The sequence below is a fragment of the Homo sapiens genome, chromosome X (assembly GCF_000001405.40).
Source record: "Homo sapiens chromosome X, GRCh38.p14 Primary Assembly".
In the NCBI taxonomy this organism is placed as follows: domain Eukaryota; kingdom Metazoa; phylum Chordata; class Mammalia; order Primates; family Hominidae; genus Homo; species Homo sapiens.
The window spans coordinates 115,613,615-115,636,535 of NC_000023.11; the positions used below are offsets into that span (position 1 = coordinate 115,613,615).

General features: G+C 38.8%; 1 protein-coding gene across 11 annotated transcripts in view, besides 1 other annotated feature; it reads left to right on the forward strand.

The window, feature by feature from the left end:
- PLS3 (plastin 3) overlaps positions 1–22,921 on the forward strand; it is an 89,688-nt gene that overhangs the window by 52,441 nt on the left and 14,326 nt on the right. For 9 of the 11 annotated variants that reach the window (NM_001282337.2, NM_005032.7, XM_047442172.1 and 6 more), the window contains 5 exons: positions 8,632–8,795; positions 15,584–15,713; positions 16,221–16,353; positions 20,386–20,467; positions 21,267–21,432. In NM_001282337.2, the coding sequence (NP_001269266.1) occupies positions 8,632–8,795; positions 15,584–15,713; positions 16,221–16,353; positions 20,386–20,467; positions 21,267–21,432 (675 nt within the window). Of the gene's footprint in view, positions 1–538; positions 921–8,631; positions 8,796–15,583; positions 15,714–16,220; positions 16,354–20,385; positions 20,468–21,266; positions 21,433–22,921 lie in introns of all 11 variants that reach the window. The other 2 variants (NM_001282338.2, NM_001172335.3) reach the window with 2 other exon arrangements.
- Positions 7,567–8,067: an enhancer, noted in NCBI's record as "H3K4me1 hESC enhancer chrX:114855493-114855993 (GRCh37/hg19 assembly coordinates)". NCBI's record gives its function as "activates a minimal SCP1, AML or CMV promoter by ChIP-STARR-seq in naive H9 embryonic stem cells {active_cell/tissue: H9 hESC(naive)}" and the evidence as "EXISTENCE:reporter gene assay evidence [ECO:0000049][PMID:30033119]".

The window sequence follows — 22,921 nt, forward strand, 5'->3', positions numbered from 1 at the left end:
AGTCGGAAAACCATGTTTCAAAGGTGTGGAAGCTAGTTAGGAGTACACATGTGTGGGTGCATGGGTAAAAGCAATTTTTATTTTTATTTTTATTTTTATTTTGAGACTCCTGGGCTCAAGTGATCCTCCCACCTCGGCCTCCTAAAATGCTGGGATTACAGGCTTGAGCCATGGTACCTGGCCAGCCAGGTATATTTTGCTTCATGCACTAGATGCGTTCCTGAAAATCAGCAAGCCAACTGTAAATGGATTTTATGTAGTGGGATATATTTTAAATGTAAAGAGAAAATCTTATTTTTTTAAGTGAAGCCTGCTTTGAATTTTTTTATTTTTTTATTTTTATTTTTAATTATTTTTTGTTTATTTATTTTTTTTGAGACGGAGTCTCGCTCTGTCACCCAGGCTGGAGTGCAGTGGCGCGATCTCGGCCACTGCAAGCTCCGCCTCCCGGGTTCACGCCATTCTCCTGCCTCAGCCAGGTGGCAGACTACAGGCGCCTGCCACCACGCCCGGCTAATTTTTTTTTTTGTATTTTTAGTGGAGACGGAGTTTCACCGTGTTAGCCAGGATGGTCTCGATCTCCTGACCTCGTGATCCGCCCGTCTCGGCCTCCCAAAGTGCTGGGATTACAGACGTGAGCCACCGCGCCTGGCCTACACACATGTATTTTTAAAACGAGAGTTGCAGCAGGGGAAAAATGATGGCCAAACTGCTGGAAATTTTGAGTCAGAAAAGGACTGATAAACATTTTTGATTGCCTGGTCTCACCCTCTAAACTTGTCCAGCCTTCTGCTGTACTTGACCTCCATCTTTGGAAATCCACTAGTACAGTGAATTCTAAAGCAGCAACCTCCAGTCTACCCTTAGCTGGAACTCATTAAACTGCCTCTTATATTTGCTGCAGTGAGCTACCTCAAAAGGTATAAGCTGTGAGAAGCAAACCCCATGTTTAGCTAAGCATCTGGAGATGTTTAGCAGCTGCCTTTTCTAAGGATTTAATGCCTAATGAAAGCTTGATTTCACTGCTTAGATCTTGGGATGGAATATAGTTTAAATTCTTCTGCCCAAGTCTTTTGACCGAGTCTTTTAAGTCAGTATTTTGTGAGCTTTCATGGGCATTCAGGATTGTGTATGTGTGTAAACCCATTATTGTTAGATAAATAGATTCCTTTTGTCATTTCTTTAGTGCAGAAAATTTGTAGAATATGTTGGTCAAACCAAATTGAACTTTTAAATCCAGCTTTTCCAAAAGGATATGCATCTGCACTTGCTAGGCTTTCTTCTTTAAGTCCTAATGAGCACTGTCCTGAGTGGGCTAATAGAGAGGTCGCATGTGTATTCCAGATGAGGGCACACAATATGTGACCTCTTCATAAAGAAAGACACCAGATTTAGACAGATTCAAGGATGTTTAAAGCAACACACACACACACACACGCATACACACACAACCCGAGCGTCAAAGAAAATCCTAGTCTTTCTTACTGTCAAATTTATGAGACAAAGTAGCACCCCAAAAGACGCTTTTGAAGTGATAGATTGCAGCACGTACCACCTGGACATGGGCAGTGTAAAACAGCAGCTAAAATCAAAACCACTTGGATTCTGGCTTAGCTTTCTCCAGACAAGTACTTAAAATAGCTTAAATAACAGGATGCAAGGGGAGGGAAAACATTTCCTTTTAAGGATATGCATTCTTGGTGTGATTCAAACTTCTGCAGGAACATGGCTGTGTAATAAGTTTATTTACTTTAAGGTTTACTTAGGGGAGGGCGGCGGGGGAGTTAAATAGTATTTAAAATAATACTTGGTAAAAGAGAATAATGAGATTTCCTTTAAAACAAAATGCAGATGTGAACCTACACGTGTCATCAGAGAGAGAGAGAGAGAGAGAGAGAGAGAGAGAGAGAGAGAGAAAGGAAACAGTCCTTTTAACAGTTGATTCTTTTCTTATGAATTCAGTCAGTGGCCAATATGAAAAATGGGCCTGTCTGGTGCAGCACTGGGAGCTGCGTAGTGATTTTTTTTTAAGTATCATAATTTTCTTCTTTTAAAAAAAAACGCTTTGTCAATTTACTCAAATTTAGCCCTTTACTTTCTGCCAGAATTGTGTTCAGTGATAAGGTAGAGTTTCCTTTATCCAGCTTCTCCTTAATGTCCAGCCATACTGACCATATTTTCTAAACCAAAAGGTTGAGAAGTGCTGGCATTGAAACTGCACTGCACAATATAGGCAGTATGGTAATTTATGTCTGCTTTATCAGCTGGTTGGAAACTATGATGCTGAAACAGAAGAGTCTTCAAAACACAGAGCTTTTCCCACTCCATACCAATGTATAGTTAATGAGAAAATGGCAAGTGAGCCAAAAAGGTGTTGCAGAGTATTGGCAGCATGAATGAGAAAATAAAGGACTGCCATCATTCCTGGTGGTTGTGATTTTAGTTTCCAGTTGTTAAAACGACTTCCAATCTAGGTATGTTATTTTGGGTCAGTTTATTATTAAGTTCTCATGTTTATGTCAAAACTCAGAATAGGAGAAATTCACCATCAAACATACTGAACAGCAACATTCTAATTCCAATGCTCTGTTTTTAAAGTGGACACTGTAACCACAAATAAGGACATAGTCTTATGATTTCAAAAAATTAAATTGTCTTTTTGAAAAACCTTGCCACATTATTCTTATTCTCATTTTGCTTTTGAATAACAAAAAATTATCCAAAATTCATTTTGGGTTATTTGGAAATCATTCAGGTACCTCAGCTATTTTATTTTACACATAAGGAAAACATGACTCAAAGACTATCATTTAGCCAGTTTGTAAAACGAAACTACTTTTCTCCGATGTAGAAAATTAGATTGAATAGTCATCAGCATTTATGTTTATTTTTTAAAATTACAAGTTAGTCTTAGAAGTAGACTAAAAGTTGTGAGCACCTGATGAGATGGAAGCTTTCTAAAATCCCATTATGCTACCTTTTTACTGGCCTTCCAAACCACGTTAGATCTTTGATATTGTTTAAGGATGTGTTTTTGGTTTTTTGACTGAGGGTTCGAAATAAAATTAGCATAAAACTCTTTAAGAATAATTGCATGCTATTTTGTCTCTCAAGTACTTTACCAGCTGGGAGGTTTTGTAAAATTAATTGCTAGCTGCATTTTTAGGCTCCCTCTGCCTTCTTGTTTAAATTGAAATTATTTTCTTCAAAATATATGATTTAAGAGCTCTAAGAAAGGCTTGATAAAATTGACTCTAACTAACACTAAAATGCCTTTGATCATGGGAGGTAGTGTAATTTGGACTAACACTGGGGGCTAAACTATGGGAAAATGGCAGAATAGGTAAAACTTTTAGAAGACGACGCACATTCTTGTCATCCAGGAAAGCCTAAGGATATGTATTCGAAGTGACTCAAAATTTTTACAAGGATTTTGTAGCCACAGTTTCAAGTAAGACCCAGGGGTTCCGTTTGATTCATTTCTGTATCTTTGGTATGTAGCCCAGTGGGTGTCTTCCCACAGGGTAGGTACTCAGTTTGCTCTGGAGGGTGACTCATACCTAAACAAGTGCACATCTCCTTTCTCAGTAAAGCCAAAGCAGGTTTCTACATTTGGAACAAAAGAGATCCTGACCAGAGAGCTATCACTGGTGGTCCACTTGGGCCCTCCTTGATGGGTGTGTTCACTTAGAAAACCAAATTACAGATCTGAAGGCTGCTGGGTAGGGACAGGATTAGAACAAAGGGAATGAGATTGAATGTTATTTAAGGGATATTTCTGTCAAGTTTTGGTTTCTCGATGAATTGCCATTCAGTCTTTGAGTGCTATTTCTGTATTTCTGTCATTGTTGTTTAGTTTTGTTTCTAAAATGCTCATCTAGGATTAGAGCATTCTTTCTTTGGTCAATTCCTGAGAATCAGTGATTCTACAAAAATAATTTTTTTCCATTGCTTATTATACACAAAAGATTGTGCTACATATTGGGGTGGGAGATACAAAGATTTAAAAGAATCTTTATCGGGAGATTTGCAGCCTAATAAGGAAGTTTGTCATGTAATGACAAATTCTTATTCCTCCAATTTCCTTTAAAATTTTCCTGTCCCTTTCTAAAAGCATTTCTTACTACTGCCCTTACTTCAAAATGAAATTTCCAAATGTGGTTATTTTATGTTAATTATGTTTTAGGGTGGCTACTTCCTGGCATCTTTTAATCACATCAGTGAACTGTCTTCTAATTAATGTTCAAGAGAGGTTATTTCAGGGAGGATACAGGCAAATAGTAATTTCTCCCTGCGACCCAAACTTCTGGAGTTTTTTGTTTTTGCTTTTGAGACAGTGTCTCACTCTGGTGCCCAGGCTAGAGTGCCATGATGCCATCATAGCTCACTGCAGCCTCGAAATCCTGGGCTCAACTGATCCTCCTGCCTCGGCCTCCCAAAGCGCTGGGATTACAGGCATGAGCCACCAGTCCCAGCCACCAGACCTGTAGTCTAACCTAATACAAATAGGCAGCCAGATAAACTTTCTGGGCCTTAGTCAGTTTCATATAGCTTTGAATCCACTGTAGTTCTCCCACATCTAATTTAAAACATCTCTACCTTCCACTTCCATTATAACACTGAGAATACAAAAAGAACAAATCCTGTTACATACCTGTTATATACTCCAGTCTAAACTAGAGTCAAAGCACAGTGGCTCATACCTGTAATCCCAACACTTTGGGAGGCCAAGGTGGAAGGATCATTTGAGGCCAGGAGTTTGAGATTAGCCTGGTCAATATAGTGAGACCCTGTCTCTACAAAAAATACAAGAAACAAAAAGTTAGCTGGGCATAGTGGTGAGAGCCTGTAGTCTCAGCTACTCAGGAGGCTAAGGTGGGAGGATTGCTTAAGCCCAGGATTTCAAGGCTGCAGTGAGCTATGATTGTGCCACTGTACTCCAGCCTGGGCAACAGAATGAGACCCTGTCTCTAAAGATACTTTTTTAAATTAAAAAATTGGCTGAGCTTGGTGACTTATGCCTATAATCCTACCACTTTGGGAGGCCAAGGTGGGAGGATCACTTGAGGCCAGGAGTTCAAGACCAGCCTGGCCAACATGACGAAACCCCATCTCTACTAAAAATACAGAAGTTGGCCAGGCATGGTGGCACTGTAATCCCAGCTACTCAGGAGGCTGAGGCAGGAGAATCGCTTGAACCCAGGAGGCGGAGGTTGTAGTGAGCCAAGATCATGCCACTGCACTCCAGCCTGGGTGACAGAGTGAGACTTAGTCTCAAAATAAAGAAAATAGCTTAAAAGAAAAAAAGAACCCACTGAAGTGGACAACGTTTTGATAGTTAAAAGAATAAGCTATCTCTTCCTCCAAAGATATCATAAAAATGAAAGAATATTATACTTAGGTAATAAGGTGCAGTAGTGATCAGAATGTTATCACTCTGTATCTGTATTTAATATGCGTTACTATTCTATCTCCAGGTTTTAAAAGTGTTTGTGTGAGGGGAGGGTTGTGAAGTCTTGTGTATTCTGATTTAGAATCAGTGTGATAGAACCAAAAAGGAACTTTAGAGATTATGTGGTCCAAAGCACTCCTTTTACAGATGAGAAAACTAGGACCTGAAGAGGTAACTTGTGCAAATTAATAGCCAAGTTGAGATAAGACATTGTTTCACATTATTCCCACTGTGTGTCTCTTCAAGCATGTATGCTGTGTTTCTTTCACTATGCCACACTTACTCTCTAGTACTGAACTCCACTGTAATTTTAGAAAGGATGTAGGAAAAACAAGTTGGTATATGCATGGGAGCAGGTGTATTTAAGCCCAAGACATTCATAAAACAAGAGCCACTAAAATTTTGCCTCAGTGCCATGGGGATTACTTTGTTCTTTTTAGCAACTGCAGACATTATTGATGGATTGATTTCTACATAGAAATACTTTACATGTAGAAATAAAGAGTTTGATGTATGACCTTTTATAAATCCAAAGCAAAGAAAGTGAATATACATCCTAGGGAAATTAAGTGCTTTACCTCAAAGGAAATCTAAGTGATTTTCACACTAAGTATTGAATGGTTTGTTATTGATGTTTTAAAAGTACAGATATTTTAATTAGCCAGGCATGATGGTGCCCACCTTTGGCCCCAGCCATGCCGGGGAGCTGAGGCAGGAGGATTGCTTGAGCCCAGGAGGTTGATGCTGCAGTGAGCCATGCTCGTGCCACTCCAGCTTGGGCAAGAGAGACCCTGTCTCAAAGAAATACAAAAGTAAAAATAAAGGTACAGATGTTTTAATTCATAGATTTAAAATGTAGTAATCAATGTTTAAGAAAATTTAATACTTAAAATAGACTGCATTAAAACTAAACAGAATTTCATCAGCATTCAAAATATTTGCAAGATGGTTCCATGCAGTATACTTAATATTTTAATTTAATTTAATTTTTAATCCCCCAGAGCATTCTTGCAAATTGCAATTTTAGTAATTGACCAAAAATTGGACAATGTGAACTACACGTAGATCACACTTAGAAAGAAATGTCAGTGTATTCCATGGAATACATTGGCCTAGCAGAGCTTATAAGATCAGCTAGCTCCCCGACCTTATCTCTCATTTTCCCCCTTGTTCACTCTACCCAAGTCATATTGGATCTTTACTTTTCCCGAAACACACCAGACACACTGCAGCATCACTGACTTTGCATTTGCTATTTTCTCTACCCGAAATCTCTTGCCCCAGATAGCCACATGATTTGCTTCCCTTACCTCATGGAAGTCTTCATTCAAATATAACCTCATCAAAGTGGCCTTCCTTACCCATTCTGTCTAAGTAGTAGCACCACCACCATCCCTGCCCCCCAATATCTCTATAACCCAGGGTTACTCAACTTCAGCACAATTGACATTTTAAGCTGCATAACTCTTGTGTTGTACATACAAGGAAGGGGTCATATCCATTGTAAGATATTTAGAAGCATCCCCAGCCTCTACGCACTGTATGCCAGGTGCTTCCAGTTATGGCAATCAAAAATGTCCCCTGGGGGCAAGATAGCCCCAGTCTAACCCCTTATGCTTTTTTCTTTTTTTTTTCTTTTCTTTTTTTTTTTTTTTTTTTTTTTTGAGATGGAGTCTTGCTCTGTCACCCAGGCTGCAGTGCATTGGTGCAATCTTGGCCCAGGTTCAAGTGATTCTCCTGCCTCAGCCTCCCGAGTAGGTGGGACTATAGGCGCCCACCACCATACCCAGCTAATTTTTGTATTTTTAGTGAAGACGGGGTTTTGCCATATGGGCCAGGCTGATCTCGAACTCCTGACCTCAAGTGATCCGCCTGCCTCGGCCTCCCAAAGTGCTGGGATTACAGGCGTGAGTCACTGTGCCCAGCCTGCTTTATTTTTTTATTTTTTATTTTATATATTTTTTTGAGACGGAGTCTCACTCTGTTGCCCAGGCTGGAGTGCACTGGTACTATCTTGGCTCACTGCAACCTCCGCCTCCCAGGTTCAAGCGATTCTGCTGCCTCAGCCTCCCGAGTAGCTGAGATTACGGGTGCCCGCCACCACGCCCAGCTAATTTTTTGTATTTTTAGTAGAAACGGGGTTTCACCATGTTGGCCAGGCTGGTCTCGAACTCCTGGCCTCAGGTGATCCACCCGCCTCAGCCTCCCAAAGTGCTGGGATTACAGGCGTGAGCCACCGTGCCCGGCCACAATACATTTTCTTAAATGCGCTAAGGTCATCTTGAGTCATTTCTCTGTTCAGGTTGTTTCCTTCTATTATAATTAAGTTTACATATGAAAATCAGTGAGACCTAAGGAACAGAAGATATTTGAAATTACTTGTGAACATCAAACTTTATTCACAGGAAAATATATACTCAAGTGGTTACAACCCTCAGGACATTAGCCTTTTTCTCAATAAATTAACTTTTGGTCATTGATCAGGTTTTTTTTTTCTATTTTTAAAAGCTTCAGAATAAACATCATTCATTTAATCAGCACTTCAAGACATACTCTGAGAAACTTCAGTAGTACAAAAATTAAAAGGTTATTTATAGAGTCATATTAAATATCTGCTTTCCTCAGTAGTGCATTTATTTTTATAAACTCTATATTTGTCTTGAATTAATGTTTGTTTACATTAACTCTTAAAATAATTGGCACTGAACATGACTGCTTAATTTCAGGTGTACTTTGAAACAGAATCAGCATTAAGTTCATATAAGTTCTTTTTGGAGCAATGGAAGAATAAGAAACACAAAATTCCTATACTTACAGTAGAAATTGTTCTATACCATGGAAGTGTTTTGTAGGTTTACGATCTATTAGTTCTTTTTTTAAAATCCTATTAGCGCCAAGTTAATAATAATTGTATTAGCCAACTATGCTTCCTTGAACTTAGGGATGCTCTTTTTAAGTAAATCTACTTACACATTGCTTAAATCACAGGATACATGATGTAAAACCTTGCTTTTTCCATTTAAATGTCCATTTCCCTTTCAAACAACTTTATGTTCCCCACAATAAGAAAATATTTTATGTAAGTGAGCTTATGAACTGAACCTCAAATGAAGGGAAATACTCTAACTTCTGTCTTTCAATTTTTTTTCCTTTTTTGCTTGCTCTCCTTTTTTACAAAGATCTCAACAGCAACGGATTCATTTGTGACTATGAACTTCATGAGCTCTTCAAGGAAGCTAATATGCCATTACCAGGATATAAAGTGAGAGAAATTATTCAGAAACTCATGCTGGATGGTGACAGGAATAAAGATGGGAAAATAAGTTTTGACGAATTTGTTTATGTAAGTATGTGAAAATTCACAATTATTAGAAGTAGTAGATGTTCCCTCGTCTAGTGGGATGTTATAGTATTAAGTACTGTTATGTTAAGTTCTTAAATATATCATATTAGTACTGTTATAACATTTCTGTCATCCTGCCCACTAAATGTACTTCTTTTAGCTGCTGGAATATCTTAACAAACGAATTGAGAAAAAGAGCACTGCAGAAACAAAGATATAACATGATAAGATGTTAAGGTGATAAGTTATATAAGGCGAACAGTCTCCTTTCATGTCATCATTAAAGGGCAGTTATCAAGGTGCTAAGTGACATCTTTGAAGTGTTCTCTCTCCCGTGGTGAACAGTGTGCTCCAAAATTTTAATAATACACCCTGACTCACAGTCTCGGAAGCTTCCTGAGCTGAACTTTCTCATTAAAAAGTTGTTTTCCACTCTTGTGGTAGGGGTATTTAACTGAACCATTCTCTCTAGGATGATAATTTTGATAATTAAAAGTTTGAAGCATATCTTTTCAGTCCATTGGAAGAGGCATTTAACATTTTTGTTTTCTTCTCTAGTTTCATCAAATATTCTTCAAGGTTAGGGGCTGAGTTTTTAATTCTTTCACCCCCCCACCCCACTCCCAGAACTTAGTTTGGTGTTCTCTACTCAGTGCCTGGAAAATGTATACATGGCACATGGTTCTTCAATGCCTACCACTATTGGCTGCTAGCAAGTGAGGTCTAGATTTTTTAGACTTATGCCATTTTCAGTCTGTATTTATTGACAGTGTATTTGAGATACGTGTTAAAAATAGCTGGCTGGGTGTGGTGGCTCACACCTGTAACTCCGGCACTTTGGTAGGCTGAGGCAGGAGGGTCTCTTGAGGCCAGGCATTCAAGACCAACTTGGGCAAGTTAGGGAGAACTTGTCAGCTTGGGCAGCTTAGGGAGACCCCATCTGTACAAAAGAAAATTTTTAATTAGCCCAGCCTGGTAGCTCGAGCCTATAGTCCTAGCTACTCAGGAGGCTGAGGCAGGAGGATTGCTCAAGCCCAGTAGTTTGAGGCTGCAGTGAGCTGTGATAACACCACTGCCCTCCAGTCTGGGTGACAGAGCAAGACCCTGTCTCTAAATTAATAAATTAATTAATTTTAAAAATAAAAGAATAGTTGTTGCTTCTTCCCTCAATTAAGGATACCTTTAAGATTTTATTGGTGTATTTATTATTAATTTAAGGCTGAGTTTGACTAGATCTTACTAGGGATTCCTTTCAGTATATCACAAACTAGTTATCAGTGCCTAATATTTATCACAAATGTCCCAGCGCTCCTATCCTCCTTTGTCATGGTTTATTTTTCCCCAAGACAACTGAAACGATAGCATGTACTTCCATCAGTAACTGTGGCTCACCATAGCAAGTGAAATTTTGAAATGTTCTTTCCAATTAGAATTAACACCTTTAGAACACTGTAGTAGTCCAAGAAGCAAATTGACTAAGTAATGATGCCTACTCAGCTGACAGCATTTTGTGATTGTTTTTAAAATGCACACTTGTCGGCCGGGCACGGTGGCTCACGCCTGTAATCCCAGCACTTTGGGAGGCCAAGGCGGGTGGATCACGAGCTCAGAAGATCGAGGGCCATACTGGCCAACATGGTGAAACCCGGTCTCTACTAAAAATACAAAAACTATCTGGGCGTGGTGGTGCGTGCCTGTAATCCCAGCTACTCGGGAGGCTGGGGCAAGAGAATCGCCTGAACCAGGGAGTCGGAGGTTGCAGTGAGCCAAGATTGTGCCACTGCACTCCAGCCTGGTGACAGAGTGAGACTCCGTCTCAAAAAAAAAAAAAAAAAAAAAAAAAAGCAGACTTGTGTCATAATTATAATGATATCGTTCCTGCCGTTTTCTTTTGAAATACTGATTTCCTCCCACCATTTTTTTGTCTCCAGTTATGGCCAAAGCCTTTTGTTTTGAATTCTATGTTCAATAGTAAGTTGCAGTTTATTTGCAATTTGAGCACTTGCATGTTTTCTGATGTATCACTTGCTCCCCTTTTAACTGCATGGTTAATTGTGAATTTAAAGTAGCGCAGAGCAGCAGTTAACTATGATTGGCTGTTTTTGATAAAATGTATTGCTCAGAATTTTTTAATCTATTAGAAAGAACAGACCAAAATCAATAGGATTTGCAGTGTGTCATTATATTAAGGACAAAATTGTAAAAGTGTCTTTGAAAATGATCTTGGGGAAATTGTTAATTTTGTAGATTTTGAAATGTAGTTTTTACACAGCTATTTGTGGCTTTTAAGGGAGGAGGTGTGATTACCTTAGTATATTCTTTAAAAGTAAAGAACATGCACAATAATTTTGGCAACACCAGGGCTTTAAGAAAACAACATTCGTGAGGACATTTTAGGTTAGAATATACATTTTAGAATTGGAAGGAATCATTATGTTTACACTCCTACACTTTTCAAATGAAAAGAAACAAACTTGGATTTCTGAAAAAGGAAGTGACTTTTCCTTTTTGCCTAACATTACACAGAGGACTAGTGGCTTTTTCCAGTACCTCCCTGCTATTCAAGAAATTTGAAATATCAAGGACAGTAAAGTAACCTACCTGAAGTTTTCAGATGCTACTACTACTATGACTGTATTAACCAAATGTCTGTCCGCACCCATCTGCCTTGTCATCAGTGAAACATCTTACAAATTGTCAAACAAAATATGGGTAGAGCTTAGTTATCCAAGAAATAGAAATCATGTTATTCCTGTTAGATATTGGCATAAGGAAATAGATACAAACATGTTCTTGCTTGTTAGGTTTCTGCTTTTTCTTTGAATTGTTGCTTAAGGGGTGTTAATTGCAAACCAGACTACAAACAAAAACAGTTTATGTTAATTTCAGAGAAATGTCTGTGTGTGTGTGCGCGCGTGTGTGTGTGTATGGCAAAAAACAGTCCCAAAATTATATGTATGTAAACTTTAAAGGTGAAAATTAAATTTAATACCCTGCTTTTTAAAATTCTAAGCACTTCAAAACTAAAAATACTGGATTTTTATGCTTACAAGATAATGGGACTTTTTTTCTTTGATTGTTAAACTAGTATGGCACTTTCAGCAGAGAAGTAAGCTGCCCAGAACAGTCTTGGACATATAGTAAATACTATATAGGTGTTAGTTGCTGGGGTAGTTCTTTCTTTAAAAAAAAAAAAAAGAAGTTATGTTTTTCAAATATTACTAAGTTTAGGCCTACAAGACATTCCAAAATAATGGAAAAATTCAATCCTGCCTCTTTGGAAACATTTTGGAAATAAGCCCCAAACACTGGAAGCCAGTCAATTCTTTTTTTGCAATTCTTTCTGAAATCTTTCTTTCTTAAGTCATATGCCTCTGGATTGTTTTGGTTTGGCCACTCGTCCTGTGTTGAGCTAACTCTGGGGTCAAAAGAAGTTAGCCGGTTGCTGAGAGTCTTTGAGAGAAAGAAGGCGAAACTTAATAAAAGGAATAAAAAACATATATATTCCATAACGGAGACTGAAAAAGATGTATAGATCAAGAGTGGTTATGGCTTCCTGAAAAAAGTACAGCAGGAGTTAGCTCACAGATGATAAAGCAAGTCTTTCCTTGTGGAGAGAAAACAGCACAAAACAGTGAGCTCATTAGTATCACAACGGGCAGCTTTGAAAAGATTCATTGAGAAGACTCCAGCACAGTAGTCAGCCTTGTGCTATCTCTGATTTCAGAGATTTCTTGTCAAGCCAAAGCTTGTACTCAAATAGTTTTATCATCCACTTAAGCGATTTCTTTACTAAAGTAGAAAGTAAAATGCAAATTCTTGTGTAGTGAATCAATATCATAGACACAAATCTTCAGTTCTTTCTTATCATTTTTACTTTTTTTTTTTTTTTGAGACGGAGTTTCACTCTTGTTGCCTAGGCTAGAGTGCAGTGGCGTGATCTCGGCTCACTGCAACCTCTGCCTCCTGGGTTCAAGGGATTCTCCTGCCTCAGTCTCCAGAGTAGCTGGGATTACAGGCATGCGCCACCACGACCGGCTAATTTTGTGTTTTTAGTAGAGACAGAGTTTCTCCATGTTGGTCAGGCTGGTCTCGAACTCCCGACCTCAAACCATCCGCCCACCTTGGCCTCCCAAAGTGCTGGGATTACAGGTGTGAGCCACCATACCTGGCCCATTTTTACTTTTTTAAAACCAAGGGAATAGAGGAAAATACTATGAAACTAAAAGTTTAAGCTTAGCTGGAATAATTTATTTGAAACAATTTAGAAAATGAAGGTCATGTAACTTTTGCAAGACCTTTGAAAATTAACAAACTTAATTACAACTTTGCATTTCATTGCCAAGCATAAGAAGGAGTTTTACTAAAGCTATGTAAATAATTGCATTAGGATATATAGCAGAGACATTCTATATATATGTATATATATGTTTAATTTATTTTCCTTTTTTTTTTTCTGAGACAGGATCTTGCTCTGTTGCCCAGGCTGAAGTGCAGTGGCCCATCTTGGCTCACTGCAACCTCCATCTCCCGGGTTCAAGTGATTCTCATGCCTCAGCCTCCCAAGTAGCTGGGGTTACAGGCATGCACCACCACGCCCACCTAATTTTTGTATTTTTAGTAGAGACTGGGTTTCATCAAGTTGGCCAGGCTGGTCTTGAACTCCTCCTGACCTCAAGTGATCCACCCACTTTGGCCTCCCAAAGTGCTGGGATTACAGATGTGAGCCACCGTGCCCAGCCTACTTTTCTAGTTCTAGTTATTAGTTCGAATTCCCAGACGTTCTCTTTTTTAAATATGAATTAATCCTTTTTTCTGTGACATAAACAAATTTGGATTTATTTTTTAGCTGAAATCATGATCATTGAAACAACCTAAGTTTTAGAAGTAAATGATTCTTGAAGCAGAAGCACTCGTAATAAGAAAAATAACTTTACATATCTCATTCTGAAGCTGTAACACTTTTGTCATTGCAGGGACTTGTGGTATGTTAGGCATGAAGAAATGCACACCTTTCAGATTTTAACTTATTAGACAATGAAGTAGAGTTCAGAAAGAAGTAGACTAGTGACTATTGTCTTTTCACAGAGCAGCTGCGTTGTTATCAAAAGGAGAGCTATAGGATCAAAATGCATCACAGTTAAGGCACAGTTGGACTAAAAAATCAGATTGTAAATAAAAATATTTTAATCATTTGAAAACTGCCTGAAGTGTGTGCGTAAGCTCCATACTGTTGATACTTAGTGAAAGTCAGTATAATGGCCATAGAGCAGGAAGGGTGATTTCATTGGTTGTGTTTAGTATTTAGAGTAGTGTGTATGTGTGTGTCTGCATACATATACAAACATAGACACACACAGACATTTATTCTAAAATTCCACCTCCAAAATTACTGGTAAAGCTAGCACAGAATCACAGGTATGGAAATACTGAGTAAGCTTGATTTTGTAAAATTTAAGTGCTTACTAACTATTCTCTCAAACAAAATTTTATTTGTAAGTCCAAAGAAAGTTAGGATTTAATTTAAGAAAGGTAACAGGAAAAAATGACTAAGTAATAGGGCCACTGACAACACATACAGCAACTTTTCTACCAGTTACTAAAAGTCACTTTCTCTAGATGGATTAATTACAAAAAGGTACCCTCCTGGAAAGACAAAATACAACAAGGCACTCCTTTCGGTCTGACACAGTCCTGTGCGAGACACAAGGCTTGGTTAGTATAGCTTGGGCTGGATTTCTGCTTCTGCTCGTGCCTGCTCTGACACATACAACCTGAACTGTTATGTATATTGTAACCCTGTTCTATGAACCGCAGACATAGGCTGCATCTTCCTGAGATGTGTGTGTGAATACATATCTGTCACGAATGTTAAAGGTCTTTGAATTGCATTTGTTCAGCAACTTTTCCATTAAGTCTTAAGTTTTCTTTCAATGAATCCACTTAAATGGAATTCTAAACGCCATTTAAAGAAAGTTGTATACGGTTTCTACATCTTGCTCCTGTTTTACTGGCTTTGACTAATTTAGCCACGCACATTGGTGGATCAGGAACACATTTGGAATTAGGTACATTCCAATACCTCAGAAAAATATAGACAGATAGAATGTCCAATCAGATAGCTACACAGTACTAGGATGTGAAACTTACTGTGTTATAACTTGCTTTTGTACAATTAGAATGTTCCTTACTGTGAAGAGAAGCTGGACTTCATAAATGCCCCAATAAGACAATCACTGAAAAGCCTCTTTTTGGTGTTTATTCTTGATAGTCATCTATTACTACCAGCTTAACACATTTTTTAACTGCATTATTCTGTAACTTTTGATTTAATGAATTCTTAATGAGCTACCCCATTATACTGTAAAATAGTTTTTTGGTTAAATCATAAAATTTTATCTTTCTTTGCATTAAGAATTTTTATTAAAGTAGGGGGATTCTTCAATGTTTTCTCTCCAGGAAAAGAATAAAGCCTTCCTTGTTTGTAGAAAATTAACAGATTTACCTGTGCCTTTGAACCACATTAGTTTTTGGCTTAAAGTGAGTTCAATGCATGTAGCGCTTAATGTTTTTGACAAGTGTGTGCAATTGACATTCTGGTGCTTCATTTTCAGAAGGGGTATTGTAGTACTTGTTTAGCATTTCAAAAACTCAAGCCCAGTTTTTTGTATCTTTTAACATCAGCTATGGAAAAAATGTAAGTGATCAAGATATAAAAGAATATAAATATGCTTATTGTGCATAGTTTGAAATTAATTGTGAATCAACAAAATTACTTTAATTAATAGATTTTTCAAGAGGTAAAAAGTAGTGATATTGCCAAGACCTTCCGCAAAGCAATCAACAGGAAAGAAGGTATTTGTGCTCTGGGTGGAACTTCAGAGTTGTCCAGCGAAGGAACACAGCATTCTTACTCAGGTAATCATTTTATATGCAATAGGTTAACACAATGTGCTAAGTGGGATGGTTGCTGTAATGTCAAGGACGGGCTCTAGAAAAACATTACCTTCTAATTAAGAATACAGTAGAAGTCCTTTGTGACATGTATTTAGGCTTGAGACTAATACTTGTCATAAAGGCATTATAAGTGTTTATTGTATGGCTTTGTTAGCTTGCAAGAGACAGGATACAATCCATGTAATGACAGGCTTTATTACAGTGCATTATACAGTAATATAAATATAATTTTTAAGGAATTTTGTAACTTTTCTGAGGACTGGTTAACGTGTTCTATTCTTTTTCTTAATTTTGTAATTCCTAATAACCACTGTGTTGCATCCAAGTGTCTGGGTTTCCACACAGAATAACCACATGTTTCTGACACATTAACTTTCAGCACTACTGCACAACTATTTTAGGCTTTGGAGTCAAATATTTAATAAGTTAGAGTATGAACTAATGTCTTGTTATTTAACATAATTTTAGAGGAAGAAAAATATGCTTTTGTTAACTGGATAAACAAAGCTTTGGAAAATGATCCTGATTGTAGACATGTTATACCAATGAACCCTAACACCGATGACCTGTTCAAAGCTGTTGGTGATGGAATTGTGCTTTGGTAAGATGTTAGCTTGTTTTATATCCAGATATCCAAAAATAGCCTTCCATATAATTGATATATTTGTTTCTGCATGCTTGACAGGTTCACCTCAAGAAATAACTAGAATGGAAAATTATCCAGGTTCTGCCTTTTTCATTTAATCTCTAGGTCTGTCCATGAATCTAAAATTCAGCCATAAATCGACAACCTCTTTATAGGGAAGCTCTCAGCCTCCATTTTCTTCTCAACACCAGGCCAGCAGAACATTACAACTTTGTTGAACTTAAGTATGTCAGTGTCTCTTTATTCTAAAGTACCACAGCTTCCAAAAGAAAAAAAGAGGCTACTCTTCAGTTCTCACTCTCCAATGACCTATTTCTAAAAAATGCTTTTGTCACTGCTGCTGCCCCACAGCCAACAGCATCTTGGCAGACATAACACAACATTATCAACACTGCCAGTCGATGTTCCAATTTATAGAGGCAGTGTCACACAGTGGTTAATAGCATGCTCCATAATCAGTCTGCCTGACTTCTTTCTATTCAGTCCTGCCACTCTGAAGCGGTACAACTGTGATCATAATACTCAACCCCTTTGCATTTCAGTTTCCATCTGTTATGATCTCCACATTATTATACTTATCTCACAGGGCTTTTGTGAGCATTAAGTAAATTACTACATACAAAGTGCTTAGGGTAGTGCAACTGACATATTTCAGATAACTATATATATATAAAATATATACATATATATGTATATATATACATATATAAAATATATGTGTGTATATATATTTACACATATATATTTTATACACATATATACAAAATATATATGTATATATACAAAATATATATGTATAATATATATAATACATGTATATATGTATATATATGTATAATATATGTATATTATACATGTATATATGTATATATATGTATAATATATGTATATTATACATGTATATATGTATATATACAAAATATATATGTATAATATATATAAAATATATATTATACATATATGTTATATAATATATGTATATATACGTATATAAAGTATATATTATACATATATGTTATATATAATATAACATTATATATATATATATATGTTGTGTGTGTGAGATGGAGTTTCGCTCTTGTTGCCCAGGCTGGAGTGCAATGGCGCAATTTTGGCTCACCGCAACCTCCGCCTCTGGGTTCAAGCCATTCTCCTGCCTCAGCCTCCTGAGTAGCTGGGACTACAGGCATGCACCACCACACCCGGCTAAATTTTTTTATTATTATTTCTTTACTTTTAGTAGAGATGGGGTTTCTCCATGTTGGTCAGGCTGGTCTCGAACTCCAGACCTCAGGTGATCTGCCCGCCTCGGCCTCCCAAAGTGCTGGGGTTACAGATGTGAGCCACCGCGCCCGGCTGACAGTATATATTATAGTATACACAATTCTTCTTTTTGCAGTAGGGTCATTTTGGTTGTTTGAAAAGCTGATATTAAAAATGTAAGATAGGCTGGTCATGGTGGCTCACGCCCAGCCCTTTGGGAGGCAGAGGCAGCAAGATCGCTGAAGACCAGGAGTTAGGTCCAGTCTGGGCAACAAAACGAGACCCTGTCTCTACAAAAAAATTAAAAATTAACCCAACATGGGGTTGCACCCCTTTAGTCCCAGCTACTTGAGAGGCTGAGGCAGGAGGATCACTTGAGCCCAGGAGTACAAGGCGGCAGTGAGCCAGGATTTGCACCACTGAACTCCAGCCTGGGTGACCCTGTCTGTCTAAGAAATAAGAATATATATATATACATTTCCTTTGTGTTCTGTTTACAAGCAGTGAAGAAATAATTTCCCATGTGTGTGTTTTGTTTTTGTTTTTGAGATGGAGCCTTGCTCTGTCGCCCAGGCTGGAGTGTAGTGGCGTGACCTCTGCTCACTGCATCCTCCACCTCCCAGTTTCAAGCAATTCTTATGCCTCAGCCTCCCGAGTAGCTGGGACTACAGGTGCTCACCACCGCACCCAGCTAATTTTTGTATTTTTAGTAGAGACAGGGTTTCACCATGTTGGCTAGGCTGGTCTCGAACTCCTGACCTCAAGTGATCCTCCTGCCTCAGCCTACCAAAGCGCTGGGATTACAGGCATGAGCCACCGTGCCCGGCCTCCCTTGCATTTTAATATAGAGAGAAGACTGCAAGTTTCCCTCTCTGGGGACTCACCCTGCAGAACTCAAAAAATCTATAAATTGTAAAAATAATAAGAGATAATCATATTGAACTAACTAAGATTTGAATTTTGCATGGAAAGAAGCATGGCTTTCTTTCTGTAGAAAAAAATTTATTAGGGCAGTATTATGAACATCTAATATGTTAGAGCCAGGCATAGTGGCTCGCACCTGTAATCCCAGGTACTTGGAGGCTGAGGTTGGAGGATCCCTTGAGCCCAGGAGTTCGAGGCTGCAGTGATTCGAGCTACGATTTGGGCCTCTGTACTGCAGCCCAGGCGAGAGTTAGACCCTGTCTCTAAAAAATAACAAAATAAAAAATAAAATGTTAAAGTCTAAATCTAGATTTTACCAAATGAGATTTTTCCTAATGAGTCACAGACTATAGCCTACCTAATCTTTCTCTCGCCACTATACTGCCAGCACCAAATATAGTGTCTGGCTCATTGTTGAGGCACTCGGTAAACATTTGGTGAATGAAAGAATCTCATGCTCAACTAATTTTACTGTTTTGTGGAAAAGACTCATTTCCAATGCAGGATTTTATCTGTCTTTAAAATATATTCAATAAAGTTCCACCCCCCACTTTTTTTTTTTTCTTTGAGACAGGGTCTTGCTGTGCAGTGATTCAATCATGGCTCACTACCGCCATGACCTCTTGGGCTCAATCAGTCCTCCCACTTCAGTCTCCAAAGTAGCTAGGACTACAAGCATGCGCCACTATGCCTAGCTAATTTTTTTTTTAACTTTTTGCAGAGATGGGGTTTCACCATCTTGCTTAGGCTAGACTTGAACTCTTGAGCTCAAGCAATCTGCCTGCCTTGGCCTCCCAAATTGCTAGGGTTACAGGCGTGAGCCACACTGTACCTGGCCCAAGTTTTGTTTTCAATATCCAAGTTATTTTCTTTCATAAAAGAATGAGAAAAAATTAAAAAAAATTGAAAGAGAAAGCATGCTACAATCCTCTGCTCAGAGATACCCAACTACTATGCACATATTTTGGTCTTTTTGGGTTTTTTTTTTTTTAACGGCATCTTGCTGTGTTGTCCAGGATGAAGTGCAGTGGCATGATCTCCGCTCACTTCAACCTCCGCCTCCCAGGTTCAGGCAATTCTCCTGCCGCAGTCTCCCGACTAGCTGGGACTACAGGTGTGTGCCACCACGCTGTGCTAATTTTTGTATTTTTAGTAGAGACGGGGTTTTCCCATGTTGGCCAGGCTGTTTTCCAACTCCTGACCTCAGATGATCCACCTGCCTTGGCCTCCCAAAGTGTGGGATTACAGGCGTGAGCCACCATGCCTGGCCAGGGTTTTATTTATTTATTTATTTATTTATTTTTCTTTTGAGACGGGGTCTTGCTCTGTTGCCCAGGCTGGAGTGGAATGGTGTGATCGTAGCTCACTCTAACTTTGAACTCCTGGGCTCAAGCTGTCCTCTTTCCTCAGCCTCCTGGGTAACCTGTACTACAGGCACATGCCACCATGCCCGGCTAATTTTTTTATCGTTTTTGTAGAGACAGGGTCTCACTATATTGCCCAGGCTGGTCTGGAACTCCTGGCCTCAAGCAGTCCTCCTGCCTCAGCCTCCCAAAGTGCTGGGATTATAGACATCAGCCACCACATCAGGCCTTGGCCTTTTTTATTTTTAGTTTTTATTTTCCATATGTGTAGTTTATTATGATCAACATGATAAAAGTCATCTAGCTGCATTTTTTAGAGTACATGAAAGAGATGTTATAGTAAGCTTTAAAATATTTGTAAATATTTACAGCCACTTTATAAAAGGAAATCAGCTCTTTTTTTTTACATCAGCCTTTTTTTAAATTTTTGTTTCAGTAAAATGATTAACCTTTCAGTTCCTGATACCATTGATGAAAGAGCAATCAACAAGAAGAAACTTACACCCTTCATCATTCAGGTATGCATTGTTCTCCCCTCCCTTTAACATGAAATTACTGTTTGAGGACCTGTTCTGCAGACTTCAGCCTCTGCACTCTGTAGGCTCCCAATCAATCCTTGTAAAAACTGTTGAGTGTGGGATTGTTATCCAGATTATACAGACAGAACTGGGACTCAGAAAGGTTTCTGAGCTTGCCTGAGATTAATGTTGGAACTGAGGTTCAAATCCCATTCTAATTTCAAAGCCCCATGTTCTTTTCATTTCATAATGTGTTCAAGCACTACAGAGATAAGCAGAAGTATATAAGCTCTTAATTAACTGGCGTGCTTAAGAAATGGAGCATTTTTTTTTCTATCAAGTGAATATTAGATTATTAGCAAAATTCCCTCAGAGAAGAGCACCTCTTGGGATGTGGACATTGATAACTTCTAAAACTCTTTTGGGCATATGCAGTACTGTTGGTCTCTCACCCATTTAGGCATTTTTGGAATTATAACACTTTACTCACATGGATATATTTACTGTGGTACTCAGCCTTTTCATTTAGTGCCAGCATACTTCAAAAGGTACCAAATAAAAATACAAAGTTAACTTCTCATGAGATTCTGCAAAAGGCAATAGCAATAAGGCTGAAATTTGTCTTAGCTAGGCTTTCTAACACAAAACTCTGGAATTTGTTTTTTGTGACACATATATGGATGAAATTAATACAGGGTATTAATTTCCTCATTGAATGTTATTTTCAGTGAAGGGAGAAAGTAGACTGCTAAAAAATGGAAAGGTCAAGAAGCAAGTGTGTAATTTGGCTGTCTTGCAGGAAAACTTGAACTTGGCACTGAACTCTGCTTCTGCCATTGGGTGTCATGTTGTGAACATTGGTGCAGAAGATTTGAGGGCTGGGAAACCTCATCTGGTTTTGGGACTGCTTTGGCAGATCATTAAGATCGGTTTGTTCGCTGACATTGAATTAAGCAGGAATGAAGGTAATGGAACACAGTCATTCTGGCAGTTGTTTATTGGTTATTTTTTTCTAGTCATGCAGACTTTCGTGCTCTCACTTAATGGAGGTGATTAAATGGTGGTAACTAGAATGAACATAAGGTAATGCTATAGAGTTATTCAGGAAAATAGCCTAATTACATGACTCTCTTCTTTACTAGTAATTCACATTTGTCTGGCACTTTACAATTCATTTTGCAATAATGACACAAAAGCACAGAGAGATTAAGGAGCTTTCCTGAAGTCCTCAAACTTGATTATCTATTTTTTTCTGTTCTGCCTACACAACTTCTACCCCGTTGCCACCCTCAGCTCCACCATTTTGCACCATCTTCTTTTTTGGAGACAGGGTCTCACTCTGTCACCCAGGCTGGAGCGCAGTGGCACAATCAGCCTGGCTAACATGGTGAAACCCCGTTTCTACTAAAAATACAAAAAATTAGCCAGGCGAGGTGGCACGTGCCTGTAGTCCCAGCTTCTCCGGAGGCTGAGGCAGGAGAATTGCTTGAACCCGGAAGGCGGAGGTTGCAGTGAGCTGAGATTGTGCCATTGCACTCCAGCCTGGGCGAAAGAGTGAGACTCTGTCTCAAAAAAAAAAAAAAAAAAAGAAAGAAAGAAAAAAAAAGAGAGAAAATGTAAGATTGCAACCGGGTGTGTTGGACCATGCCTGTAATCCCAGCACTTTGGGAGGCCGAGACAGGTGGATCACTTGAGGCCAGGAGTTGGAGACCACCCTGGCTAACATGGCGGAACCCCGTCTCTACAAACAATAGAAAAGTTACCTGGGCGTGGTGGCATGTGCCTGTAGTCCCAGCTAGTCAGGAGGCTGAGGCAGGAGAATCGCTTGAACCTGGGAGGCAGAGGTTGCAGCGAGCCGAGATCATGGAGGCAGAGGTTGCAGTGAGCCGAGATCACGCCACTGCACTCCAGCCTGGTCAATAGTGCGAGACTCTCTCAAAAGAAAGAAAAGAAAAAGAAAATATAAGGATGAATTATATTTCTGTTAAAATAGGATTGAGCCTTCAAGAGTTAATTGATTAATTTTACTTAAATACAAATACCACCGTGTTTCTAGACTACTTTAATCAAAAGGTTAAGTAAAAGATTCCCAAATTGTAAACATCTTTCCCCCAAATCCCTGACTTTTTTTTTTTTTTTTTTTGAGACGGAGTCTCGCTCTGTTGCCCAGGCTGGAGTGCAGTGGTGCGATCTTAGCTCACTGCAAGCTCCACCTCCCGGGTTCACGCCATTCTCCTGCCTCAGCCTCCCAAGTAGCTGGGACTACAGGCGCCCGCCACCACGCCCGGCTAATTTTTTGAATTTTTAGTAGAGATGGGGTTTCAGCGTGTTAGCCAGGATGGTCTTGATCTCCTGACCTCGTGATCCGCCCGCCTCGGCCTCCCAAAGTGCTGGGATTACAGGCGTGAGCCACTGCACCCAGACCCAAATCCTTGACTTTAGAAGTGTTAAATA